Source organism: Homo sapiens, chromosome 6 (genome assembly GCF_000001405.40).
Source record: "Homo sapiens chromosome 6, GRCh38.p14 Primary Assembly".
Lineage (NCBI taxonomy): Eukaryota > Metazoa > Chordata > Mammalia > Primates > Hominidae > Homo > Homo sapiens.
The window spans coordinates 150945133-150973131 of record NC_000006.12 but is presented as its reverse complement, the minus strand read 5'-3'; the positions used below and the strand labels follow the sequence as shown (position 1 = coordinate 150973131).

Here is a 27999-nt window from a genome sequence, read left to right as displayed (position 1 = left end):
TCCGATTATAGGTATACGTGTGGTTAATGGGAATTACCTGTTAGCATGGGAAATCTGCCAATGCAGTCCCTCATATGTCAGATTAAGGGACTCCTCCATGAATGCCTGTGTTTTGGTTTTGTCTTTTGTTTCCTTGCTGCCTTAGTATTGTGGGTGAGACTGGGGCTGGCACTGACTTAGTAAACTCTATGAGAGTTGCCCCTTCTTTCTAGCTGGAATATGCAAGAAAAGCCAAAGAGGAACAGGTTCTGCAAAGAACTTGACAGCAGCAAAAGGTGTGCAGTACTACCAATTAACATTTCTAAGTCTACTGGTTGGGAATCTCTCCTATATTAGCTCACAAAAAACAAGGAGAAACTGTACATGGAAATAAACCCACGACTTCAAGTTATCAGTACTACATAGTAAGGGTAGTAATGGCTGACAGTCAATGAGCACTTTCTCTTATTCAATTACCATTAGACAGTACGCTCCACAGGAGCAGGGGCTAAGGCTGGTTGTTTTAATTTTAATTTTTTCACAGAGGCAGGGTCTTCTATGCTGCCCAGGCTGGACACAAACTCCTGGGCTCGAGCAATCCTCCTGCCTCGGCTTCCTGAGTAGCGAGGCATGTGCCACTGCGCCTATCTGTTTTGCTTACCACTGGATCCCTAGCTAACATGCCTTCTAAGTGGTAGGTTCTCAAAAAACATTTGCTGAATGACTAAAATATCTCATTCAGTTTTCATAACAACCCTAAAAGGTTTGATACAGTATTGTTATCACTATTTTACACACAAGAAAACCGAAGCTCAGTAGTAATTAAAATGTGTCCAATGTCACTCAGTTTGCAAGAGTCAGAGTTTATACTCAAACCCATATGTACTTGATACCAGACTCTATGATTCAAGCACAAGCATAATTTCACGAGTATAGACCAGACCTTAGGGCTTTTCCATTATTGAGACCCTCTATGAAAGAGGGTGCCTGAAAGAATATGTTTCATGTCAGGATGGATATCACTCCATTCCAGTCATCAGCTTTTAGATTTCTTCAATATTCTACAACAACTAAATTTAAAAGAAATAACTTACCTACAAATCCTTCTTCACCAACCAGTTTCAGGGCAATTTTATCAGCCAACACTGAAGAGTTGCCGTGAGCAATGTTAGCAAAAGGGCCCGCATGCACGAACACAGGTGTCCCCTAGAGAAGTGAAAAAGCAAATCAAAATCCCAAAAGACAAACAGAAGCATGGAAACCAAGATCAATTTGGGGCAAATGGGGTAGGAAAGCTTTTATGAATACTGCATATTTAATGCATAAAATATTTCAAAGACAGTCAAAACACCCTGACTCAATCAAAGGACCAAATTCCCTCCGGATTCTAGAAAAATGTTATTCTACATTTAATGCTGAACCTGAGAGACAAAACTGTGAGAATACAGTCACTTCCTTCCAAAATATTGTTAAACCATTTTGTTAGTTGCCTCAATGACCATGAAATAAATTATTTACCTTATTTTATGTTGCCATGCACTATATTTTTTTAAAAGAATGAAATTAAACCCTGATGGTATAAAAGGTATATTTATTTTTTTAATTAAGAAATGATTCCATTCAAGAAAAGGTAACCATAAAAATCATTACAATTGGCTGGGCACAGTGACTCACGCCTGTAATCCCCGTACTTTGGGAGGCCAAGATGGGCGGATCGCCTGAGGTCAGGAGTTCAAGACTGGCCTGGCCAACAGTGAAACCCGTCTCTACTAAAAATACAAAATTTAGCAGGGTGTGGTGGTGTGCTCCTGTAAACCCAGCTCAGCTACTCGGGAGGCTGAAGCACAAGAACAGCTTGAACCTGGGAGGTGGAGGTTGCAGTGAGCTGAGATCGCACCACTGCACTCCAGTGTGGGTGACAGACCGACTCTGACTCAAAAATGAAAAAAATAATAAATAAAAATAAATAAATAAAACCTAGGGACACATGTTTATGAATACACAGGTGGTGTCTAACTGGAATTTTGTATTATTTGGTCAACTTCTCCATCCCCCACTGCCTCTGATAACCACTATTCTACTCTTTACTTTGCAAAAGCACTTTATATTTTTGTATAAATGTAGCTTTAGCTAGAAATCACAGAATCAGATAATGTTGAGAGCACGAAGCAGCCAACTTCTTTATCCAGAAATTTAAGGCCCAGAGAGGCTAAGGGAATTCTTCAGGGCCACGGAGGAAATTAATAATTAAGTCAAGATTAGGGCTCTGGTTTTAAAACTCCCAGTATGGAGTTGGTGAGAAAAAAATATTGGAATGTCATTGTTAGACTTCCAAACACAGGTACACACACACTTGCACACTCAAACATGGATATAGCTATAAGATACAGTACATCAAATTAAACATGTTGCTTAAAAAATTCTATGACTAACTCAAAGGCATACACACATTTATCTTGAGTTCTGGGTTTTATTTTACATGCAGAACACTCAGGAAAATAAGGCAGGAACTATCTTGCTATGAATATTCTCCATAATGGCCCTTTCAAACATTTCATAAGATTAATATTTCAAGTAATTTCAAGTAATTGTTAGCTTACCAGAGTTCTAAGCACTTAAATATGAACAGTAAAATATAAACAAATAAATGCATAAATGGAAATGTGGCTAAAATGACTGAAGAACTGAATTCCAAATTTTATTGAAGTTTAGGTAATTTAGATTGAAATGGCCACATGTCCAGTGGCCGCCATATTGGACAGTGTGCTCTCGCATGTGAAGTTTCCATCAACACCACACACGGCTAACCTGTGGGAAAATGTTAACAGCTCTCACTGTTTTCTTGTCTTAAGTCTTCCTCAGTCTGGCAATACATGATACCCAAGCCTTATCCTCAGACATTACGTTCACTGGGTCTGATGGGGAGCCCGGCATCAATCAATCAATATTCTTAAACCTTCCCAGGAGCTTCTCAAGTGCAGTCAGGATTAAGAACTACTGGTCTCCTGGCAACCTGTAAGGATGTGGCCCTTGATGACCTCCTACCAGACTAACAACCAGGTGTGTTCAGATGTGAGCGGGAAAGCATAATCTACCAACTAGTCAAACTAGATTTTTGGATTATCTGCTGAGATAGATTCCTAGTCAATGATTAGATACATAAAACCCAGAGTGACAACATAGGATCAGGGTACAAGAGTTCACGTCTGCAAATATTTTAAGTGAATGCAGTGTTTTATTTTGTAAAAAGGTCCATATCTTTTAAAGTAATCTTAAAACAGCCTATGCCTTAAATGAAATCGATGACACGGAACATCCTGAAGATGGTATCTTCATTTGCCAAGTGACAGATGCAGAAACAAAACCCAAGTCCATATAATCATCTGGTGGAAGTGGTTTCTCTATGGAAAGCTTTGTTTGCTTCCTACAAATGCATGCTTATCCTTTAAGGGATGTATTATAGTTACTGTGGATTTCTCTGTTTTCCGACTTACAAGAAACTTGTCTATGTACCTTCATACTTTGTTTAGGTTGAGGAGTTCTTGTGTCCTTGTAAAGTAGTCTGAAGAATTCCCCCTTCTTTCCCTAGCAAGCCCAGTCCTGTATATGAACAGTTTGAGGACTCTTTTTTTTTTTTTTTGAGGCAGGGTCTCAGTCTATTTTATGTCTCAATCTGTCGCCCAGGCTGGAGTGCAGTGGCATGATCTCTGCTCACTGCAACCTCCACCTCCCCGGTTCAAGCTATTCTCCTGCCTCAGCCTCAGCAGGTCTTATTGCCCTTACTTTTATTTGCTTTTTAAGGGTTCTGAATCTCTGATTTATTAGGCAGCAAAGAAATAACAGGTTTAGATTATGTTTTAAAAAGTGCTCAGGCCGGGCACGGTGGCTCACACCTATAATCCCAGTACTTTGAGAGGCAGAGGCAGACGGATCACCTGAGGTCAGGAGTTTGAGACTGGCCTGGCCAACATGGTGAAACCCTGCCTCTACTAAAAATACAAAAATTTGCTGGGCGTGGTGGCCCACGCCTGTAATCCCAGCACTTTGGGAGGCCGAGGTGGGTGGATCATGAGGTCAGGAGTTCGAGACCAGCCTGGCCAACATGGTAAAACCCTGTCTCTACTAAAAATACAAAAATTAGCCAGGCATGGTAGCGGGCGCCTGTAATCCCAGATGCTCAGGAGGCTGAGGCAGGAGAATCGCTTGAAACCGGAAGGCAGAGGTTGCAGTGAGCCAAGATCACACCATTGCACTCCAGCCTGGGCAACAAGAGCAAAACTCCGTTTCAAAAAAAAAAAAAAAAAAAGAATTATTTAAAACAAGAAAATGATTATCCTGGCTGGGGCATGGTGGCTCACGCCTGTAATTCCAGCACTTTGGGGGCTCAGGCGGGCAGATCACCTGAGGTCAGGAGTTTGAGACCAGCCTGGCCAACGTGGTGAAACCCCATCTCTACTTAAAAAAAAAATACAAAAATTAGCCGGGTGTGGTGGCAGGCGCCTATAATCCCAGCTACCTGGGAGGCTGAGGCAAGAGAATCGCTTGAACCTGGGAGGCAGAGGTTGCAGTGAGCCGAGATCCCACCATTGCACTCCAGGCTGGGCGACAGGGAGAGACTCCGTCTCAAAAAAACAAAACAAAACAAAACAAAACAAACAACAACAATAAAGAAAATGATTATCCCTAATAATAAGTATTCATCTTTGAGGGAGAAGTGTTATGAAGGAATATCACATCACTTCGTATTTTTTCTCTTATTCAGTTATTTATTAATAAATGTGTATTTTTAGGAGAATGTAGTAAAAATAATAAACATTCACTTAATTATTCAACAAGTCTTTACTGAACCTCTAATAGGTGTCGGGCACTTTCTAGAAGCTGGAGATACGGTGGTGAACAGGATGGAAAAGGTCTTGCTGTCATCTCGGTGGGAGGAGAAATACAGAAAACAGATAAGGAAATAGGAAGCTCTCAGCATTCTGTGCCATGTACTGCAATGACAGCAGAGGGACGGGGGCTGCACATTCCTGTGGCTTCTCTGAGCAGCTGATGCTTACATGACATGAGAACAGAGGGAGGCGAAGGAGCTGGACATGAGAATATCAGGAAGTGGCCCAGGTAGTGGTGTTAGCCGTGCAAAGGTCCCCCAGAGGATGAGAGATGAGGATAAGGGACAAGGAGCGGGAAGGGGTGAGAGCCAGATCCCTAGGGCTTTTCAGACCGGGGTGGAAACATGGGTAAATCATGGAAGAACTCTAAGTAGGAAGGCAACAGGGCTTCATTAGGTTTCAGTCTCTATGGCTGCTGAGGAGAGAGTATTTTGGAAGAAAAGAGTAGCAGCAGAGAGACTGGTTGGGAGGCTGCTGCACTCGTGCAGGTGGGGCGTGCTGGCAGCTAAAGCAGGAAGGAGGGAGGCATTGAGCATCGTGGACAGGGCAGAGTCATGTAACCAAGGACAACTCTGCAGGGATGGACACAGGAAGAGGGGAAGGGAAAACAGGCCTCTAGGATCATCCTCGGGTTTCTGCCTTGAATGACTGGGAAGGTTTCAGGGAAGCAGCGAGCTGGAAGGAAGTAGGTAGGAGGTGGGTCCTGGTTTATGTATCAGTTTGAAATGGCTTTTCCCCACCCACGTGGCTCCTGGTAACTATACCTGCAAGTCTGAAATTCCAGGTGCATGATATTCCAAACAAGAGTTTGGGAGTCATCACCTGGCTAATTCTGGAGGAGAACGGGGCAAAAAAGGTGAGGGGTCATCAGAGAAGCCAGCAAAGCGGAGGAGGAGCAGCGAGCAGGCCTGGGGAGGGGGGGACCCCAGACGCCAGAGGAACCAGGTGCTCCTGAAGGAAGACAAGGGCAGCTGTGTCAAACTCTGCTGAGCTTCTCTGAGGAGGGCACAGCAACAAAGACTTGGTGTCTCCAAGGGAAAAGTGACCTGGACAAGGGCAGTCAGGAGAGGTGGAACCCGAGGTCAGTTAACATGGAGACCCCAGTGACAGACAAGAGCTGGGCAGAAGCTAGATGAGGATGCAGGTGGGGGCAGGAGGTTTTTGAAATGTTTTTGTTTGCTTTTTAAGATGGCCTACCTCTGAGGATACGTGCATGCTGGCAGAATGATCAGGGGAGAGGAAAGACGGGAAGGACAACCTGCCGCAGAAGGGTGTGGCCTTGGCACCTGTGCATCCTGCACCCCTCCCCCGGGGCTGCAGACACCTGTTCAAAGGCGTTCAGTCCTCCCTTCCTCAGCTCAGGGGACACCTGCAGTCTGCATCCTCACTGGGCACCTTCAGAAATGGTCCCCCCATTTTTTTCTATTCCCTTTTTTTAAAAGATAAGAGGCTCACTCTGTCGCCCAGGCTGGAGTGCAGTGGTGCAATCTCAGTTCACTGTAATCTTCGCCTCCTGTTCAAGTGATTCTCCTGCCTCAGCCTCCCAAGGAGCTGGGATTTCAGGCACGTGCCACCATGCCCAGCTAATTTATTTTGTATTTTTAGTAGACATGGGATTCACTATGTTGGCCAGGCTGGTCTCGAGGTTCCTGACCTCAAGGGATCTGCCCGCCTTGGCCTCCCAAAGTGCTGGGATTACAGGCTTGAGCCACCGTGCCTGGCCAATCCCCCCATTTCTGTCATATTGGTTCTGATATGGTTTGGCTCTGTGTCCCCACCCACATCTCATGTCGAATTATAACCTTCAATGTTGGAGGAGGGGCCTGGGGAGAGGTGACTGGATTCTGGGAGTGAATTTCCCCCTTGCTGTTCTCATGATTGTGAGTGAGTCCTCATGAGATCTAGTTGTTTAAAAGTGTGTAGCACTTCCTCCTTCGCCCTCTCTCTCCTGTTCTGCCATGTGAAGACTTGTCTGCTTCCCCTTCGCCTTCCACCATGATAAGTTTCCTGAGGCCTCCCCAGCCATGCTTCCTGTACAGCCTGCAGAACTGTGAGCCAATTAAACCAATTTTCTTCTTAAATTACCCAGTCTCAGGTAGTTCCTTACGGCAATGCGAGAACAAACTAATACAGGTTCCTAACCAGATCCTCGCTCTTGCTGTCTGAAATTGCAAAACACCTTGCTGCCCAAGGCCCCTGCACTAAAGGTAACCCTCTGTCCAAATGTTCTTCAAGACACGTGCATGGCTCACCCCCTTGGTTTACTCAGCTCTGTGCTGGTACTGCTTTAACAGGCGGGCAGGCACAGACACACATACCCCACATCACTCTGCCCCTCATGACCTCTGATTTTTCTTCTCCAGACCTTACCACCAACTAACATGCTGTGTGTTTATTGACTTGCCTTTGGCAAATGCTTTCCTGGAAAGTCTTGGCATTTATTGTATTTTGCTTGGAAACAAACAAACAACAATAAAAAAGCAAACCAAAAAATCCACAACTCAATGATTATGAGAGATTAAGGGAACACAGAAAATAAATTGTAAACATGGCCATACAACCTATTGAAATGTTAGACATTGACTTTCTCTTTTTTTTTTTTTCAGACGGAGTCTCGCTCTGTCGCCCAGGCTGGAGTGCGGTGGTGCGATCTCAGCTCACTGCAACCTCTGCCTCCCGGGTTCAAGCGATTCTCCTGCCTCAGCCTCCCAAATAGCTGGGACTACAGGTGTGTGCCACAATGCCCGGCTAATTTTTTTGTATTTTTAGTAGAGATGGGGTTTCACCATATTGGTCAGGCCGGTCTTGAACTCCTGACCTCATAATCCGCCCACCTCGGCCTCACAAAGTGCTGGGATTACAGGCATGAGCCGCCGCGCCTGGCCTCAGACATTGACTTTCTAAGTTTCTACTCGGGTCAATTAAGCCAAGACATGACTTATATTAAAGAAGCTATGAATACACTTAAAAATTTTTTTTTTTGGTTGGCCAAGAAGTTATTCTGATGCTTCTTCATAAATTACCCAGTCTCAGGTAGTTCCTTGTAGCAATGTCAAAATGGACTAATACAGGTTCCTAACCAGATCCTCACTCTTTCTGCCTGAGATTGCAAAGCACACTGCTGCCCCAGGCATGCTCTATGCCTGCCTCATATTGGCTAAAAATGTTCACATTGTGTGGCAATCCAGTTAATGCAAACAATTACTATAAGAAGAAAACCACTTACTTCCAGGGTCTGCATCAGGTTTGGTTTTATTGCATCTTTCATCAAAACTGTCAAAGCACCTGTCACCCCCTACAGGAGAGAGAAAAACATTAGATTCCTGACAAAATATCATCCAGGCAATGGTTAACCCCTTGGCACTTCTCTCCAGCCTGCTTCTTGGGTGGGCGTCCCCACAGGCAACCCTGGGCCACAGGGGACAGTGCTGCTGTCTCTGTCCACCTCTCCCCACCAGAGCTGAGAACGGATGTCAGTCACACTAAGATGTGAATGGTGATGGGGTAATAGCATTTTGAAGGACATTTGACCTTCTTCCAAAACCTTCCTTGATGGTGTTTATGAGATTTTCCATAAAACAAATCTTTCATTGCAAGAAAATGTGTTTTCTGGCTATTTATGCACAGTGTATTTTCATAATCAGAGGCTTTACTCTTGCTCAAAGAAATAAGGTGAAGAACAGAAACAAGGCTCTGTACAGAGCAGGAATGAAGTAGGGTAAAGGGAAATGTCTAAAATCACCCACTCTGATTTCTCACCATCTCTACATCATTCATTCCACAGAGAGAGAATAACTCAACAAACTACCACGTTTAAAAGCTTTCTAGTTTAGATGTGAAAGGCTTCACGCTATCTCTCTTCCTACAGTCAAGCTGGTGCCACTTATACATGAAATAAGGCAGCTTCCTTCCAATCCTAGGAAGTACTGGGTTGAGTTCCTTCTAAGTCCTCTTTCTCTGTTCCTGGATGAAGAAAAGACAGAGAAGAGAGAGAATAGGGATGATGCATGAGAACTAGCGGAAAACATGTGCCAAAAAAAGGCCACAAGGCTAAAGTTTGTTATTATTTTTTAATGTGATGTCAATATTCACATTCTTTTCTTTCTTTTTTTGAGAACGGAATCTCTCTCTGTTGCCCAGGCTGGAGGCTCACTGCAACCTCTGCCTCCAGGGTTCAAGCGATTCTTCTGCCTCAGCCTCCCCAGTAGCTGGGACTACAGGCATGCACCACCACACACGGCTAATTTTTTTTGTATTTTTAGCAGAGATGGGGTTTCACCATATTGGCCAGGCTGGTCGCGAACTCCTGACTTCATGATCTGCCTGCCTCGGCCTCTCAAAGTGCTAGCATTACAGGCGTGAGCCACCGTGCCCGGCCTTTGTTTCTTTTTTTCCCAATTCCTTCTCACTTTGTAAAGACCTTAAGTGGTGTCTTGGTGTTTTCAACATATTAGTTATTGGAAGGCTATAACATAAGCAAATGCTTGTAACGGTAGCTCTAGGGGGGGAAAACAGGGCGCTATCCCTTGCTGTACATAGCATCGGAAAACAGTGCCATTTTACCACAGTATGCCATGGCGCTAACAGATGCAGTGGTAGAATCCAGAGAATCTTCCTCACTCTAAAGTGCGTTACATTCTCCCCGTACTTTTATCAACAACAGTAGTAAATGTTTCTCTCATGTGATTGGTTTCTATTTTTATAATATTTAATCATTTAAAAGGTGTAAGAAAATCCAATCTATTTTCTTCCTTAACTTCAAATTGACAGATAAAACTGTATGTATTTATTGTGTATAACATGATGTTTTGAAGTATATGCTGTGGAATGATTAAACCTAGTTAATTAACATATGCATTACCTCACAGTTATCATTTTGGTGGTGAGAATACTTTATAACCACTCTTAGCAATTTTCAGGAATACACTATTACTAACTATATTCCTACGTAACTGGAATCTACCTCAGTGTATAAAACACACATGATATGAATGCAACCCACTCATTATACATACACGAAGATGGTTCACTTTGAAAGCTGCAGGACAGGCTGGGCATGGTGGCACACACCTGTAATCCCAACACGTTGGGAGGCCAAGGCGGGTGGATCACCTGGGGTCAGGAGTTCGAGACCAGCCTGGCCAACATAGCAAAACCCCATCTCTACTAAAAATACAAAAATTAGCCAGGCATGGTGGCAGGTGCCTGTCATCCCAGCAACTCGAGAGGCTGAGGCAGGAGAATCACTTGAACCTGGGAGTTGGAGGTTGCAGTGAGCTTAGATTGCACCATTGCATTCCAGCCTGGGCAATAGAGCAAGACTCCATCTCAAAAAAAAAAAAAAAAAAAGAAAAGAAAAGAAAAAAGAAATCTTCAGGACAGGAAGGCTCAGTGAGAGTTGTCCTGTTGTGCTAATGCAGAGCAGGTGGAAGAAGAGGAGTAGTTTTCCTACTTCTCTGTACACTATCCTTGCTTACACTTCCCAACCAAATAAACTGATTCAAAACACTAAAGGAGGAAGGAAGTTAAGAGGGATGTTTCTGTTGGATGTCTCAGGTAGGCTTCTACCTGCTCATTTTTCTGGGACACATCTCAGCGCCTGTGCTGTCACGTGCAGGGCAAGCTCTGCCACCCTCTGTGTGCTGCTAGCATTCCACACTCTGTGTCCATGTGGGGAAGGCTCAGATGGATTCTTCCAGGGTATATCAGAATCATGCATGTGGCAGAAACCTTCAGCAGTTCCTAAAATCCTCCCTCAATTTTCTATGGGTGGCCAACTCTCAATAGCTCCCACTGGATGAAGCACAATTTAATAAATTAGTTACTTTTTGCAAACAAGAAACACAAAAGATAACTAAAAAGAGTTTATTAAAAAGATAAATAAAGAGTTTATTTAAAAAGGTAACTAAAAAGAGTAATCTTTGGGTTTGTTCCAGATCCAAGATTTTTATCATACACTCACACAAAAATACATTTAAGGGCTGGGTGTGGTGGCTCATGCCTGCAATCCCAGCACTTTGGGAGGTCGAGGTGGGCAGATCACCTGAGGAGTTCGAGACCAGCCTGGCCAAAATGGTGAAACCCCATCTCTACTAAAAATACAAAAATTAGCCGGGTGTGGCAGTGGGCACCCATAATCCCAGCTACTTGGGAGGCTGAGGCAGGAGAATCACTTGAATCTGGGAGGCAGAGGTTGCAGTGAGCCAAGATCACGGCATTGTACTCCAGCCTGGGCAACAAGAGCGAAACTCCATCTCAAAAACAAAATAAATAAATAAAAATAAATAAATAGATTTAAGGAAGCAGTATTTGAGGATTAAGTTTTAAAACTGTTCCTGACACATATTTATTGCCATACAAATTAATAAAATACAGAGCAATGTATTTAGACAGAAACTGTAGTATGTCAGTTTAGATAGAAATAGTGAGATTTTGGTAATTTTAATAAAGCAGCACTTTTATAGCAACCTGAGGGTTTTCTCTTCAATTTTTATACTAAGTATTCCATAGGCTGCGACATACGTTGATCTATTGAATTTACTTGACAAGACTTCTGAGATGAGTTAGATTCATTTCTTCAAAAGCAGCTGAAAAACAATCCGGACACTTTGAAAAAGAATTCAAATTATACCCTAAGCCCTTGAAATTAATAAAATATGACTTTGCCTCTCTCTGTTCACAACTGCTTACCAATCACCAGTGTGCATTTTAAGTTCCATTATTGTAGGAGATTCAGTATATGGGAAAGTAAACTTAAATTTGGAGTAATGGCTATCTTAGAGGCCTGTGTCCACACCCATGCACTTATATACAAAAATGCAAGCAAACAAAACACCTATGGAATATGTGGAGTTTAAGTTAACTGGAAAAGGCCAGGTGTGGTGGCTCATGCCTGTAATCCCAGCATTTTGGGAGGCCAAGTTGGGTGGATCACCTGAGGTCAGGAGTTCGAGACCAGCCTGGACAACCTGGTGAAACCCCATCTCTACTAAAAATACAAAAATTAACTGGGCGTGGTGGCGTGCGCCTGTAATCTCAGCTACTCAGGAGGCGGAGGCAGGAGAATCGCTTGAATCCGGGAGGCAGGGGCTGCAGTGAGCTGAGATCGTGCCATTGCACTCCAGCCTGGGCAACAGAGCCAGACTGTCTCAGAAAAAAAAAAAAAAAAAAAAAAGTTAACAGGAAAGGTTGTTATTATACCAGAAAGACGAAGAAGAAAAGAAGACTAGCATGCCAATTAGAAAAAGCACTAAAAAAGGAAATGGTGTTCCATGGAAGCTTTACAGAAAGCACCACAACTACTCAAAGGGGAACTAGAAAAGCAAGACTGATTGAGGCAGAGATTTGCTTTTATAATACAAAACCCAAATCTAAGGCCCCAAATTAAATAATAAGCCAGGCTGGTGCCAGAAATGTGCCAATTTTAACTTTATCTTCCTGTTCATGGAAGCAGAGCCACTTCCTTCTGTTCCTTGGAAAGGTGATTTGCCCTCAATTTCAGGCAGGCATAGAAGGTACATTTTTTAAAAGTCACCAAGTGACTGCAGGGGGGTGACTCCTCCCCAGCCCAGGCAGAAGCAGAGATCAGGATTGGCAAGGATGGTGGAAAGCTCCTGAAATAAATTTCACATGTTTTTGTTGCAGCCAGGCATAAGCACGTCATATATGACTATGAGAACATTAGGAAGCAGTTAGGCAAACATGCTTGTCGGGGAAGAAATGTGTGTGTGGAAACTTTTTCTGTATCCTCATTACACTCACTGATAAAAGGAAGAAAACCTTTCTTTTTCTGGTAACGAAGAACGAGGACCGTCCACTCCCTGAAGCTTCCGAGTTGGAAACACTCACCAAATCATCTGCTGTCACAGGCTGCCCGCTTTTGTCACTGGCCACCACCATCCTTCCCAGCCGTGCCTTCATGTCTGCGAGGCTGTCCGTCAGGGCCAGCACCGCCATGATCTCGCTGGCCACTGCGATGTCAAACTGCGCCTGAACCAGCCCAAACACAGGTAGTGGTCAGCGACAGTGCCAGTGGGATGGCCATTCCCACAAGGAGCTGGACTTCAGCCATGAAGCAACCACAGGCCCAGAGAGTCTACCCTCAAAAGGCCATGCATGCAATCCCATCAGTTTTCTGCGTGTCTGGACCATGCAGGGTTTGTGCCTGGTGCTCCCTAGGGTGGCCTCCCAGGCGGAATGTGCTCTTTGCCATGCTCTGCTCAGCAAAGGGTGGGCTGAGTTAGGACCCCTGTTACACCCGCTCACAGCACTACCACATGGTTTGCTGTTGTAGCATGTCTCAGACTTAATTGATTACTAATGTCATTATCAGTCTAGTGTGGTCATTATCAGTCTACCACTGGACCGTAAGTGCCATGACGGCAGGGACTATATTAGGCAGGTTCACTTCTGAATCCCCAGCACGGAGCATGAGACCCAGTAGGCATACAATATGCATCAGATGAATTAATGACTAGCCTACGGGCCACCTCCCTTGTTAGTAATAGGTCTGTCAAGAAGGCTGCATTGTCTGTCTGGCACAGAGATAAGGGGCAGTGAAAGATGCTGGCTTCCTGCATGTGAGGCTACTTTCCCAGAGCTGGATCTCAACACAGCAGGGAGGGCAACCCAGTCAACTGGTGGCACAGACTCAATTTTCAGCTGCCCAGGAGGATATGGCCACATCAGATCTTGAAGCTTTCAGTAGTGAAAGCTAGAGAGCACAGACTTTTTGCAAAAAGTTCTAGGACTTCCTATTCCCATCTCTTGGCTGTGGCTCCACGTTGTACGAAGTCCAACATGGAATAAAAGGGACACAGGAATGTGTACTTCCTCCTCCTCATAATTCAGCCACTAGGAATGTTTCTCTGGACAGAACCACTTCATTACGCCCCAGCTTAATTCTCTTCTTCCCAAGGGGAGTGTGAGCCAGACAAGTTCAAGCTTACGCAGAGAGAGAATGGCTGTGCCCTGGTGGGATCACCTTATGAGACATTTTATTATCCATTTCCATCACTGACAAGTAAGGAAAGGAAGGAAATAAGGAGCTTTCTGGCTACTTCCTGGTTGAGATTGCATTAGTCACTGATTTAGTGAAAAAATATTACCTGAAAGTCAAATACAACTATATTCAATTATTACATTCTCAATATAACTCATTCCAAACATAAGTGGTCTTTCATTGTATGAAATTTAGGGTTCTCTATACTACCATTCTATTATAAACAGTGCATATGAGAAAATGACTAAAAAATATGGAGATTTTCTGTACAAAACATGAGACTAGAAACATTCTTGAAATATTAGCTGTGTAAATAAGAATAATATATAATCGATATTCAAGCTCTTCATTTGTAATTGTTACAATTACAAAATTTCACATCTTGAGCATAAAAAAAATGAAACACACTGGGTCAATTAAAGTATCACTGTCATTCACTTTAATGACTAAATGACGTGCATAGCGGAAGGCTGCTCATTTCTGTTTTGCAAATAAAATATTTCAAAATCATATAAAGATGCCAATGAAAACGTTATTGTTCATCAGCTTATCACACATTTATTGATTTAGTATTTACCTTTTCATTTTTTTAGGTATATAGTAGGTGTATATATTTGTGGATTGCATGAACTATTCTGATACAGGTATGCAATGTGTAATAATCACGATAGGGCAAATGAGGGATTTAGCACACATTTAAACAAAGGCCAATATGGGATATTGGCAAGGATGTGAATTGGTATGAATTTCCTGGAAGTTAATGTCAAAACATATGTCAACATTGGAAATTTGTATCCTCTTGGACTCTGCAATCACACATCTGGAATAATATCCTAAGGATAGTATCAAGTATACACACAAATATATGTGTATACTTACTACAGCTTACTTGTGATAGCCTGAAACTGCAAACACTCTACATGTTCATTAACAGGGAAATGGCTGAATCTACTATGGTACCTCTATGAGATATGATGTGGTCATTAAAAATGAAGATACAGGTCTACCTTTATCGACATAAAAAGATGTCTTCACTACAGTCTTATGATAAATAAAAAGCAGTTAAAGCTCTTAAATACACTATAACCCCTTTTTACTTAAAAATATCTATGCACGAAGCAACACAAGATATAACCTTGGGCAAGTTTTTTTAACATAACATCCCAATTTCCTCATTTGCAAATCAGCTTTACAAATGAACTGTGCTAATATATGTAATGGAACTATCAATACAATGCACAGAGTAGGCACTGAAATCAAGGCCACTGTGAATCTTCCATCTCTCCAGTACCTAAACAGTAAAAAACTATGCAGAGAAAGGGCCTTTTCAATACTCGCTTTTATTACACAGGCAACTAATGCCAACAGTTGGCATACATCTTTCTACTTTTCATTCTAGGCACTTATATACACAAATAAGTTGTAAGTGCCTATAATGTAAGTAAACACGCTGGGTTTTTCTTAACATAAACAGGTTTACAATATCAGTATTTTACTTCAAAGTTTTAAAATGGTTTTTACAACCTTTCCAATGGTGTATGAGAGCTCTCTACTCATGTCAAGACACCCATACGCACATTTATTAATTTCAACTCTCCCATGGGACAAAATGGCGGACCAAATATATGCAACCATCTCTACTGTTGGACATTTGGATTGTTTCCAATTTTCACCGCTGCAAATAATGGCACAACAAATATCCTAATACACAGAATTTTTTCCTGTACGTTACACATTTTCTTGTTCTTTTCATTAAAATATTTTTAGTTCCAAAGTTGTAATTGTTGGGTCATTTCAAATTTTAGTAATAACAAACTCATCCAAAAAGGATTTCTACTCCCACTAACGCTGCATAAATGCCCCCATTTCATTGCATCCTCACTAGCATTTAGTACCTACTATTTTCACTTGACAAGCTCCTAGGTAAATGATACTCCATTGTTTCAATTTGCAGTTTTATGATTATTCATGAACATCTTTTTATGTTGGCATTTTAGTTCTGTATCCATAAATTGTCTTTTACTTATTCTACTCATTTGTTCAACAGATATTTACTGAACACTTACGACTATATGTAACAAAGTTCTGTTCTGAACATAGGGAACACAGCAGCAAATAAAAAGGGGAATAACCTCTGCTTTTATAAAGCTCCCACTTTAGCAGGAGAGGCTAAGAACATGAAAAGCAAGAATGCTTGTTAAGGATGGAAGTCCACCATATTTTGGGCTGTCCTTTTAATCATCAATCTAATTCCATCTTCCTATTTTTCAGAACTATCTAAAACTTCATGGCAATGATTCCAGTTTGCTAGCATGGATATTTGAAATCTGTTTGTGTGTGTGTGTGTAAGTTACAGGACTGGGAGGAGACGAGGTCCACGAACTTAAGTTTCTCTTCTTAATCCAATACCTACATTCACTTTTTAATTCAAGACACTTCAAAAGGTCACAAGTCTATTTGGCGTAAGGATTGGTTATTATAGTAAGGTGACTCTTTTTTCACTAATAAAAACTTAACATAAAGGACAGAAATCTAAAACTGTTCTTAAATGTACAGTTTATAATCAATTCAAAAGAAAAAAAAACACAACACAATTTAGAAGCCCACTGTGCCTGGATGAAAAATCATAGGAATTAATTTGTATTCCCTAAGTGCCATTGACGCACATCCAATATCTATTACAATGAAGTCAGACATAATTTTTCTTCTGCATTCTCTGTATTTTATTAATAAGCCATTTTTGTATTAATAAGCCATTATCCTTTAAAAAATCCTCATGCTATTAAGTCTAATAACTAGGTGTTTGTTCTTTGATATATGAAATTTGAGTAATGTGTCTGAGATTTTCATTTATCAGTTATGCAGATGTAGTATTACCTGGATGGTTCCCAATAAAATAAGTGAGAATTTATATTCAAAGAATACCCTGAGTGGCTCTTCCTGGAAACACAATTGGAAACATACATGAAAAAAAGAAAATGAAATAAACATACATAGAAAAGATGGTAAAAAGACACTGGAGCCTCTATGTCTTCTGATCCTCTCCCAGCCCTGCTGAGCACCCAAAACAGTGAGAGAACCACTGGCCACAACAGGTTGGGGATGAGACAAGAAAGGCAAAGAGTGAGCTCCCAGGCCAGTAGAAATGAACGTAAGAACAGAGCCACACCCGGGAAGAAAGCACCACCTACCTGCCGGTAATGGCCCTTCTCTGTGTTTCCCTGCCCGATGGTTATTTTTCGTAGAAATCGGTCATTTGTATCCAATACTGAAAGAGAACAGATTAGTCATTCAGTCGACAAATATGGACCAGCCACCTGGTGTGTGTCTGGCATTGTTCTGATGCTCAGGAAGTTGCAGAGGGTGAAAGAGAAAAGGTCAGGCTCCCCCAAGCTGACCATCTAGTGGGTAGACATAGAGAAAGAATCAAATAAACAACAAACAAACAAAAAAATCCACTAGAGGCCAAGCACAGTGGCTCACGCCTGTAATCCCAGCACTTTGGGAGGCTGAGGTGGGTGGATCGTTTGAGGTCAGGAGTTCCAGACCAGCCTGGCCAACATGGTGAAACCCCATCTCTACTAAAAATATAAAAATTTGCCAGGCATGGTTGTGTGTGCCTGTAGTCCCAGCTACTCAGGAGGCTGAGGCAGGAGAATTACTTGAACCTGGGAGGCGGAGGTTGCAGTGAGCTGAGATTGCACCACTGCACTCCAGCCTGGGCGACAGAGTGAGACCCCCTCTAAAAAAAAAAAAAAAAAAAAAAACCCAACCAGCAACTTCCCTTCTTGGCATTACCCGAAAGAACCAAAAGGAGACACTCAGATATCTGTACACCCATGTTCATAGCAGCACTATTCAAAATAGTCAAAAGGAGGAAGCGACCAACAGGTGAATGGATAAACAAAATGTGGCACAGACAGGCAATGGAATATTAGACGGCTATAAAAGAAGGTCATGTTGATACATGAATGGATGTTGAAAACATGGTGCATAGTGAAATATGCCAGACACAGAAAGGCAAGTACTATATGAGTCCACTTATATCAGGCACCTAGAATAGGCAGGGGCAGAAGAGGGGAGTAATTATTTAATGGATAAGGAGTTTTTGTTGGGGATAATGAAAAGGTTCTGGGTATAGATAGTGATGATAGTGCAATCATTGTGAATGTATTTAATGCCATGAATTGTGTGCTTACAAATGGGGAAAAATATTTCGTTATGTATATTTTACCACAATTTTAAAAAGCAAAAGTAAATAAAGTAGAATTGTGGGGGGTGGCGGGGGTGAATGGTGAATAGAGCAAGTACCAGTTCTCTTTATTTTCTTCACTGGCTTATTAGAATTTCAGTTATTGGCTGGGTGTGGTGGCACACACCTCCCAGCACTTTGGGAGGCTGAGGCGGGAGGGTCACCTAGGAATTTGAGAACAGCCTGGGCAACACAGTGAGACCTTGTCTCTACAAAGAATACAAAAATGAGGTGGGAGGATTGCTTGAGTCTTGGGGGTTGAGGCTGCAATGACCATGATTGTGTCTCTGCACTCCCATTTGGGAGATGGAAGTGAGACCTTGTCTCTCTTTTTTTTTTTGTCATGCAGGCTGGAGTGCAGTGGCGTGATCTTGGCTCACTACAACCTTCGCCTCCTGGGATCAAGCGATTCTCCTGTCTCAGCCTCCCAAGTAGCTGGGATTACAGGCGCCTGCCACCATGCCTGGCTAATTTTTTGTATTTTTAGAAGAGATGGGGTTTTGCCATTTTGGCCAGGCTGGTCTTGAACTCCTGACCTCATGTGATCCACCTGCCTCGGCCTCCCAAAGTGCTGGGATAACTGGCGTGAGCCACTGCACCCAGCCAAGACCCTGTCTCAAAACAAAACAAAACAAGAATTGCAGTTATTTACATTTTGTGAAAATTAGGTTTGGTTTAGTGAATACCAATGCAACAAAACAAAGCCAGTACACTGACTTTGTTAATTTATGCAGCTTCAAATAACAAGCTGTCCACATTGACAATTTAGATCCACTTTACTCAATGTATACGATACAGCACTTATGAAAATGGTGATGGAAATTACGTATTTGGTACTATAGGCATCCGTAGGATGAAGAAAGTTAACCTTTTCTTTCATACGCAAAGCACCAGCAGGCCAGCTTGCCCTCTTGGCCTATGGCTGTTCCCTGACTCGGCTGTTGTTAGTCTTTATAACAAGCTCCCTCTCTCTCAGACACACTCACACCCTCACACAAACACCAACTGACACTCATATAAACACACAGAAACCTTCTTTATGAGTTTTTCAGCTATAAGCAGAGCATATACAAAATGAAAGGCCTGCTTTTCAATAGTATCCTCAGCCACCACTGTTCTTCCCAAGATGTACATGGGGTGCAAAGTCAATCAACTAAAAACCTCTTTCCTGCTCTGTAGTATACACGATCTTGGCACCAGATTGAGGGAATCTTTTTATCAAATTTCTTTAAAATCAACAAGAGAAATTCAGCTGTTTTTTATCTAGCAAAGAGAAAACAAGAAAAAAAAATGTCTGGCAAGATCAACTAGAATCAGTGGCCTCCAAAGCCCACCTCTGCCTTTAACATGGCCCGGTAAGTGATGCATCAGTGATACATAAGAAATGTGAAGGTTAAATTCCAGCCCACAAGAAAGATACTAGAAAGTAACCCTAAGTTAGTGATCCAAAATGGAATTCCTGGTCTCTGAATGATAGAACTAAAGGTGGAATAAGAAACACTTATTCACTCCTGGAGTATGTATTGAGGGGCTACTTGTGCCTAGTCCCGAGCCAGCTGTACAGAGATATAGTGAAGACAGTGCCAGCCTCTTATGTAAGGCATGCTAGGACAATGCCAGTGGGTGTGGGGGTGGAGGCAGCCGGGGGAGATCTGTTTGCTTATTTTTTGCTCTGGACCATCCCTTTTAGTACTACAGTGCTGACTATACTACAGTGCTGACTATGTCCTAAGGAACATCCACAGTATGCCTAATGGCTGATGAAACAGCCAATATTGGCCAAGAGCCTGGCAGTACAAGGTGTTCAATCAGGGGCAGGTCCACTGTTTCGGCCCCAGTGGAAGACACGGTACTGATTCCCTAGAGTGTTGTTGGGGCAAGGAACCAGCCACTTGATGGTTGATTCCCTGAGGCTGAGGGAGGCTTGTGGGCCCTTGGTCCATGGCCAGGAGTTGGGCATGCGAGGGAGATGGAGAGACGGCAAGCCTGTGAGGCCCCGGGGCTCGGACAGGCAGAGGCTCATCTGTGCAAAATTATGCTCTGTAACAAAATGGCTGTATGTCTATATTTTCTTCTGCTTATGTTAAGTATTTCTGGAAAGGTCTGTGGGTTCCTTGTTCCACTCTGGGTCCAGGAACATGAGGCCTTTAAACTTTCGGTATGAGGCATAAGATGAAACAATCTGCTGGACGCGGTGGCTCACGCCTGTAATCGCAGCACTTCGGGAGGCCAAGGCAGGCGGATCACGAGGTCAGGAAATCGAGACCATCCTGGCCAACACGATGAAACCCCGTCTCTACTAAAAATACAAAAATTAGCTGGGCATGGTGGCGCATGCCTGTAGTCCCAGCTACTCGGGAGGCTGAGGCAGGATAATTGCTTGATCCAGGGAGTTGGAGGTTGCGGTGAGCCGAGATCGCACACTGCACTCCAGCCTGGCAAGAGAGTGAGACTCTGTCTCAAAAAAAAAGATGAAACAATCATCAGATTTTGTACACAGGCTGAAAGGAAGGGGTGGTCATTAAATGGCGCAACATCCATATGGCCTGAGAAGAGGGTCTCACTCCCACCACCGTGCACCCTGACTGTCCTGCTCTAGTTGTCAAATCAAATAAGGATCCAATTTCATCACAAGGGTTACATTAGTTCTAGGTTTAAGCCAAAAAACCCTACTAGCAAATGTTCTCAATTCTTTTGATGAAGAGTCCTATTTCTGTTATTAATTCATGGTCATAAGAGCCAAACTACTTATCAAATGTCATTCCAAATTCCTCTGACCCAGGTAGCTTGTCCACAGCAATAAAGTTTTCTTTACTTCAGTGCCCTGAACAATAATGGAATTCAAATTTTTTTCCGGAAGAATTTTGTAAAGTTGTCACTTCCATTAAAAGTGATTCACAACCACAAAACACTTCAGTCCTTCCTGGCTCCAGAGAGAAACCAATTGCAGACCAGACCCAGGTATAAAAGATGATGTAGCCTTTCTCTTCCAAGATCCATGTCTAAGCCATTGCCCTGTTTCTGATGGCTGCTCAGGCTGGAACCCCAAAGCAGACACCAAAGAATACCAATTGGCATAAAACTTTCTCTTTTAGCACATCCATATGCTTGGTTTAAAATACACTAATTTCCACCTTCCTGATTTTCCTATCATCAGTAAACCTCCAAAAAAGTTTTGAAGAGTAACACAAAATCACAAATGCTTTGAAAAAAAAAAAGATGACAATACATTTTGGACATGATGACATTTTAATAATAAATCTTCCTAGTTATAAAAAAAATTTTCAAAGAAAATATGTAGGCTTCTCAATAAAATGCTTAAAGTATTCATGTCCATTATTTAAAATGCTGTTGGTGTTTTCAAGAACTGAGCCTTGCTTAAGTAAGTTGTGGTTCATCCACAAAGGAATATTCTAGAGTATTTAAAATGGCCATTACAACAAAGAGCTAACAAAATACAAAATGCTTATGATATAAATGAATGAAACTCGTAGGATATAAAATCTATACACTAAAGTTATAACTAGAGTTATACCAAAAAACTAGATGCACACAAAAAACTATGAATAGTAGTTTTATTAGTATAGCAAGGTTTTTAAAATTCTTTTGAGACATTTCCAAAATCTCTATAATGTTATTACTTATTTCAAAATGAAAAATGTATCCTTGAAAGTTTCTAGGCTGGGTGCAGTGGTTCATGTCTGTAATCCCAGCACTTTGGGAGGCCGAGGCAGGAAGATCACCTGAGCTCAGGAGTTTGAGACCAGCCTGGGCAGCATGATGAAACCCCATCTCTACTAAAAATACGAAAATTAGCTGAGTGTTGTGGCGCACAGCCTCCAGCTACTCAGGAGGCTGAGGCAGGAGAATTGCTTGAGCCTGGGAGGCAGAGCTTGCAGTGAGTGGAGATTGCACTACTGCACTCCAACCTGGGTGACAGAATGAGGCCCTGTCTCAAAAAAAAAACAAAAAAAAAACCATAAAGTTTCCAAGGAGATTTTAGTTTAGTTTGGGAGACAAAGACACTCAAAAAAACTACCCAAGCCAGGCACAGTGGCTCACGCATGTAATCCCAGCACTTTGGGAGGCTGAGGTGGGCGGATCGTTTGAGGTCAGGAGTTCCAGACCAGCCTGGCCAACATGGTGAAACCCCATCTCTAGTAAAATACAAAAATTAGCCACGTGTGGTGGTGTGTGCCTGTAATCCCAGCTACTCGTAAGGATGAGGCAAGAGAATCGACTGAGCCAGTGATGCAGAGGTTGCAGTGAGCCTAGATCGCACCACTGCACTTCAGCCTAGGTGACAGGGCAAGTGAGACTCTGTCTCAAAATAACAACAAACAAAAAACTCTACTCAATACAGCTATCACCACAGTGACTTCTGATGATCGTGTGGGCAGAGCTTTTGGGTCTGGAAAGGATGCTTATGTTTCAGTGAAGCCTCCCAGCAAGGCAGCTGGAATTATGATTCCATTTTAAAGATGAGGAAACTGAGTGAGCAGTCTGTCCAAAGTTGTGCAGCCCATAAACCGCAGAGCCAACGCTCAGTCTCTGGTCTTTGTCTCTCTACCTCATGGTTTGTGGGACTACACTAAATTCTTAATGGACTGGCTGGGTGGATTCCCAGAAGGGAAGCTCCCTGAAGGGACGAGACCTGGGTGCATCTTAGAGGGCAACACTGGCCTAGGCAGGAGACAGGATGGAGATGGCCCAGCTAGGGCTGGCAGGAGGATGGAGGTCGGCACTGCTGACTAGAAAGCAGGCAGGGAGCAGAGTGAGGGAAGCCACTGCGGGTGTCCTGAAGACCAAGCTCTGCGATGGCAACTGTATCACCCAGGATGTGGGGAGCCACTGGAGGCCTCTGATCACAACGGGATATCTCTGTTAATGTGAACCCTCTGAACTGGGGGATGGAAACGGAAGCAAGATAATCTATTAGTCGGGAACTGCTATAAAATGCGCATCTGATAAATATGTTCCAAATGTGAGCATAAAGAGGTAAATGAGGGCACAAGTATGAGAAGAATAATCCAGGAAGAATCAGGGATCCATGCCATTGAACATTTCTGCAGTTGCACAGGGTTCATAAAATGTGGTTGCCGTGTTTCTGTGCAGCGTATGTGACCATCTCCATCTCCAACGCCAAGAACATGCATGCGACCTGCTCGAGATCATGCAGTGAGTCAGTGGCAGGGGAGACACACACTCAGGGCTCCTAACTTCCTGTTTAGTGCATTTCCCTCTGTCTCATCCCATAGTGAGCGATGAGACTGAGGGCAGTGTGGGAGAAGGAAGGGGACTTCACAACTGAGAGGGAAGCAGGGAAGTCGAGGTGGTGGGGAGCTCACGGGGACTCCACCTGGATGCATGTGAAGCAGTGGAGCGATGCCTCGTTAAGTGGGTGAAAGCACATATCAGACTTGGAGGAAAATCCAGCACTGGAAACACACAGAGAGCTGCCGAGAGCCAGTGGTAAGGAAGTGAACAGAAGAAGGTGGGATGGTGGGTGGAGGAGGAGCAGGACAAAGCCAGGGAGGCGTGGTCTTTAAAAAAAGTTTCTTTTTTTTTTTCTTAATATAGATACAAGAGGCCAAAGGAGAGAGAAACAGAAGAGAAAATTAGGTAATTTTCCTTGGAAATTTAGAAGACACAGGAGTAGATGGGATTGACCCTGGACAGAATTTTTGTTTTAATTGGAGGCAAGGATAAGGGAGGGTGGTACGATAATAGTAACTGAAATAAATGGTGGGAATATGAAGCACAGGCTGGGAAGATCACTGGACAGGATCAAACTGTAAGTTTCTGAATTTAAGCGCTTCGGCTCGAACACGCCTCCCCACCTGGCCATCAGCCTGCTGGCATCTCCCCAGCACCCACCTCTCTGCCACGTGATGGTAGATGGGTCGATGTCGAGACGGGCAAATTTACTCACTTCCTCTTCTGTCAGTGTGCTCGGATCAGTCTTATTTATTCCCAGTTTCTAATGATTAAGAAGAAAAAAGGTGAGAAGTTTGAGAAGAAACAGAAAGCAAAGGGTCACCAAAATTATCCCTCTAATTTTATTTTCTCCATGATTGGTAAAGCCTTTTAAAAAACTAAACTGGCACTTTGGGAAGCCAAGGTGGGCAGATCACCTGAGGTCAGGAGTTCGAGACCAGCCTGACCAACATGGAGAAACCCCATCTCTACTAAAAATGCAAAAATTAGCTGGGCATGGTGGCGCATGCCTGTAATCCCAGCTACTTGGGAAACTGAGGCAGGAGAATCGCTGTAACCTGGGAGGCGGAGGTTGCGGTGAGCCAAAATCGTGCCATTGCACTCCAGCCTGGGCAACAAGAGCGAAACTCCATCTCAAAAACAAAACAAAACAAAAAAAACACTAAACTGGGCCAGGTGCGGTGGCTCATGCCCGTAATCCCAGCACTTTGGAAGGTGGAGGCAGGTGGATCACCTAAGGTCAGGAGTTCGAGACCAGACTGGCCAACATGGTGAATCCCCGTCTCTACTAAAAATACATAAAAAAATTAGCCAGGTATGGTGGAGAGCACCTGTAATCCCAGCTACTTGGGAGGCTGAGGCAGAAGAATCACTTGAACCTGGGAGGCAGAGGTTGCAATGAGCTGAGATCCTGCCACTGCACTCCAGCCTGAGTGACAGAGCAAGACTCTGTCTCCAAAAAAACCAAAAAACAAAAATCAAAACTAAGCTGGGCGTGGTGGCTCACGCCTGTAATCCCAGCGCTTTGGGAGGCGGAGGTGGGCAGATCACCTGAGGTCAGGAGTTCGAGACCAGCCTGACCAACATGGAGAAACTCTGTCTCTACTAAAAATACAAAATTAGCCTGGCGTGGTGGCACATGCCTGTAATCCCAGCTACTTGGGAGGCTGAGGCAGGAGAATCGCTTTAACCTGGGAGGCAGAAGTTGCAGTGAGCCAAGATTGCGCCATTGCACTCCAGCCTGGGCAACAAGAGTGAAACTCCGTCTCAAAAAAAAACAAAAAACAAAAAACAAACAAAAAAAAACTAAACTAAACTGAACTTTGAGTGAATTATAGGTTAGGCCAAGTCAGACAAATACCTATGGCCAGATTTCTTCTACGAGTAAGATACTGTGAGTTCGTAATAGACTCTGAAAAGGATTGATCTGAAGATGTCCTGCAGTGGACAGCATACAGCTAACTACCACTTGTGCCTGCTGCTGGCTGCGTTAGCCAGGGGCTCCTTGGGCTGCTCTATGTGGCCACCATGTACGCTGCTCAGAAGAGACATAAACTGCTGTCTGTCCATATAATTGATGCCGCAGTTCTTTAGTTTTTCAAATACAAATACCAGTAATTCAAGTTAAGTTTATTCCTATGTTTCAAAGTAAGTTATTCCTAATTTATGGAGGAGAAAAAAAAAAATTAAAACTTTTAATGCCCAGCCAATTTTTAAATTTTTTGTAGAGACGGGGGTCTTGCTATGTTGCCTGGGCTGGTCATGAACTCCTGGGCTCAAGCAATCCTCTTGTCTTGGCCTCCCAAAGTGCTGAGATTACAGGGGTGAGCCACCACACCAAGCCAAGAAATCTTCCTATTTATTTTGTGTAAATAAAACATCTTAAGAAAGTGATTTTTGGCTGGGTGTGGTGGCTCATGCCTGTAATCCCAGCACTTTGGGAGGCTGAAGCAGGTGGATCACCTGAGGTCAGGAGTTCGAGACCAGCCTGGCCAACATGGTGAAGCCCCTTCTCTACTAAAAATACAAAAAATTCGCTGGCATGGTGGTGGGCACCTGTAATCCCAGCTACTCAGAAGGCCGAGGCAGAACTGCTTGAACCTAGGAGGCGGAGGTTGCAGCGAGCCGAGATCGTGCCATTGCACTCCAGCCTGAGCAACAGAGCAAGACTGTCACACACACACAAAATAGTGATTTTTCTTTTTTTTTTTTCTTTTTTGAGATGGAGTCTTGCTCTGTTGCCCAGGCTGGAGTGCAATGGCACGATCTCGGCTCACTGCAAGCTCCGCCTCCTGGGTTCACGCCATTCTCCTGCCCCAGCCTCCCGAGAAGCTGGGACTACAGGCGCCTGCCACCACGCCCGGCTAATTTTTTGTATTTTTAGTAGAGATGGGGTTTCACCGTGTTAGCCAGGATGGTCTCAATCTCCTGACCTCAGGATCTGCCTGCCTCGGCCTCCCAAAGTGCTGGGATTACAGGCGTGAGCCACTGTGCCTGGCAAAATAGTGATTTTTAATGAAGCATAAAAAAGATCTGGGAAACAGAAACTGCATGTTGTTATAGCTGCCGAGGATGGAATTACTCACTAATTCAACACACTGAACTTGGTTCAGTAAGAGGCAGGAGGTGAATTTTTAAAACCACTTAATACCAACCAGTAAGGTTGTTAAGTTATACCATTTAGGGTTATTTTTTAGTCTCTGAAACAGGGCTAGTAGCAAGCAATATGATTAGAAGACCAGAGGCAGCAAATGGCATCAGAAAAAAGATAAGACAGGTTTTAAGAATTAAGATGGCATACGCAAGTATAATTGTAGTGTTTGCTGCAACAAAAACGTAGATGAGGCTGGGCGCAGTAGCTCACACCTGTAATCCCAGCACTTTGGGAGGCCAAGGTGGATGGATCACTTGAGGTCAGGCGTTTGAGACCAGCCTGGCCAACATGGTGAAATCCCATCTGTACTGAAAATACAAAAATTAGCCAGGTGCGGTGGTGCGTGTCTGTAATCACAGCTACTTGGGAGGCTGAGGCAGGAGAATCACTTGAACCAGGAAGGCAGAGGTTGCAGTGAGCCAAGATCATGCCACTGCACTCCAGCCTGGGCAACAAGAGTAAAACTCTGTCTCAAAAAACAAAACAAAACAAAACAGAAAACCACAAATGAGATAGATGAGTTTTCAAAGGTTATCCTATAATTTCCTAGAAATTTAACAAATTTCATAAAAATATTTCACTTTAGAAAGAGAAGGACTCACCAAAAATTCTAATTTGTTATTTTTTTTTAAGAGATGGGCTCTTGCTGTGTTGCTCAGGCTGGCATGCAGTGGCTATTCACAGGGGCCATCATGGTGCACTATAAACCTTGAACTCCTTGGCTCAAGCAAACCTCTCACATCAGCATCATGAGTAGCTCGGACTACAGGTATGTATGTGCTCCTGTGCCCAGCTAACTTGTCAGTTGACTAGAGTACTCATAAATTAGCAAAACAGTCCTCTCATTTCATAGACGAAGAAACTGAGACCAAAAAAGGTTAATTAATTTGTCCACCTGGCTCTTTCGTGTAGAACCAGGGTTCAGGCTTCCAACACTGTGCTCTCTCTGCTCCAGTGTTCGGTCTCTATAGAGTTTAATACCCAAAAGGATATCTGAAAACCAAAATCAAACCAAGTTGAAAATTTCAGGCTTTGACAATCTTTCTGATGCGTTTCTACGATATTTTCTTTTTAAAGAATTGCTAACTGGAAACTTACTTTTAGCCGAGCAAGCTGAATTTCTGAAAATTCTCTGACACCATTCACTAAAGGAACCAGCCGATTATACAGAGCCTAAAAACACAAAACAAAAATGAGACCACACAAAAGTTAGTTGTCCATGAACTTGGACAATTCACAGGATATGACAAAAATTCATTGCATTTATAACCGAACTATTTAGATAAAAGACCCTATTAAAATTTGTGGGCTAATATAAACAATGTTGACTTAAATTCTGTCATTTTCATAAAACTGACAAGATCTGAAATAATACACATTGCAAAGAGTTTGCATAAATATATTTCTTGATCTATATCGCTACAACTACCATATGAAGATGTATCTGGATTATGTAGCAAAGACTCACTAAGGAACTACTTTAATTAAAGAAAGTGAGGACCCTTGT

The 27999-nt window shown here is 43.1% G+C and overlaps 1 protein-coding gene across 30 annotated transcripts in view; it reads right to left on the bottom strand.

Moving 5' to 3' along the window:
- Window positions 1–27999, bottom strand: part of MTHFD1L (methylenetetrahydrofolate dehydrogenase (NADP+ dependent) 1 like) — a 236186-nt gene that overhangs the window by 128756 nt on the left and 79431 nt on the right. For 29 of the 30 annotated variants that reach the window (NR_146719.2, NR_146720.2, NM_001242767.2 and 26 more), the window contains exons 15-20: window positions 27591–27665; window positions 23999–24101; window positions 17061–17137; window positions 12717–12857; window positions 8095–8163; window positions 1074–1185 (exon numbers count right to left, since the gene is read on the bottom strand). Coding sequence is in view for 28 of the 30 variants with exons in the window: in NM_001242767.2 (NP_001229696.1) it covers window positions 1074–1185; window positions 8095–8163; window positions 12717–12857; window positions 17061–17137; window positions 23999–24101; window positions 27591–27665 (577 nt within the window). In the remaining 2 variants the exon portion in view is untranslated. Of the gene's footprint in view, window positions 1–1073; window positions 1186–8094; window positions 8164–12716; window positions 12858–12934; window positions 13976–17060; window positions 17138–23998; window positions 24102–27590; window positions 27666–27999 lie in introns of those variants that run through there. The other variant, XM_005266911.6, reaches the window with a different exon arrangement.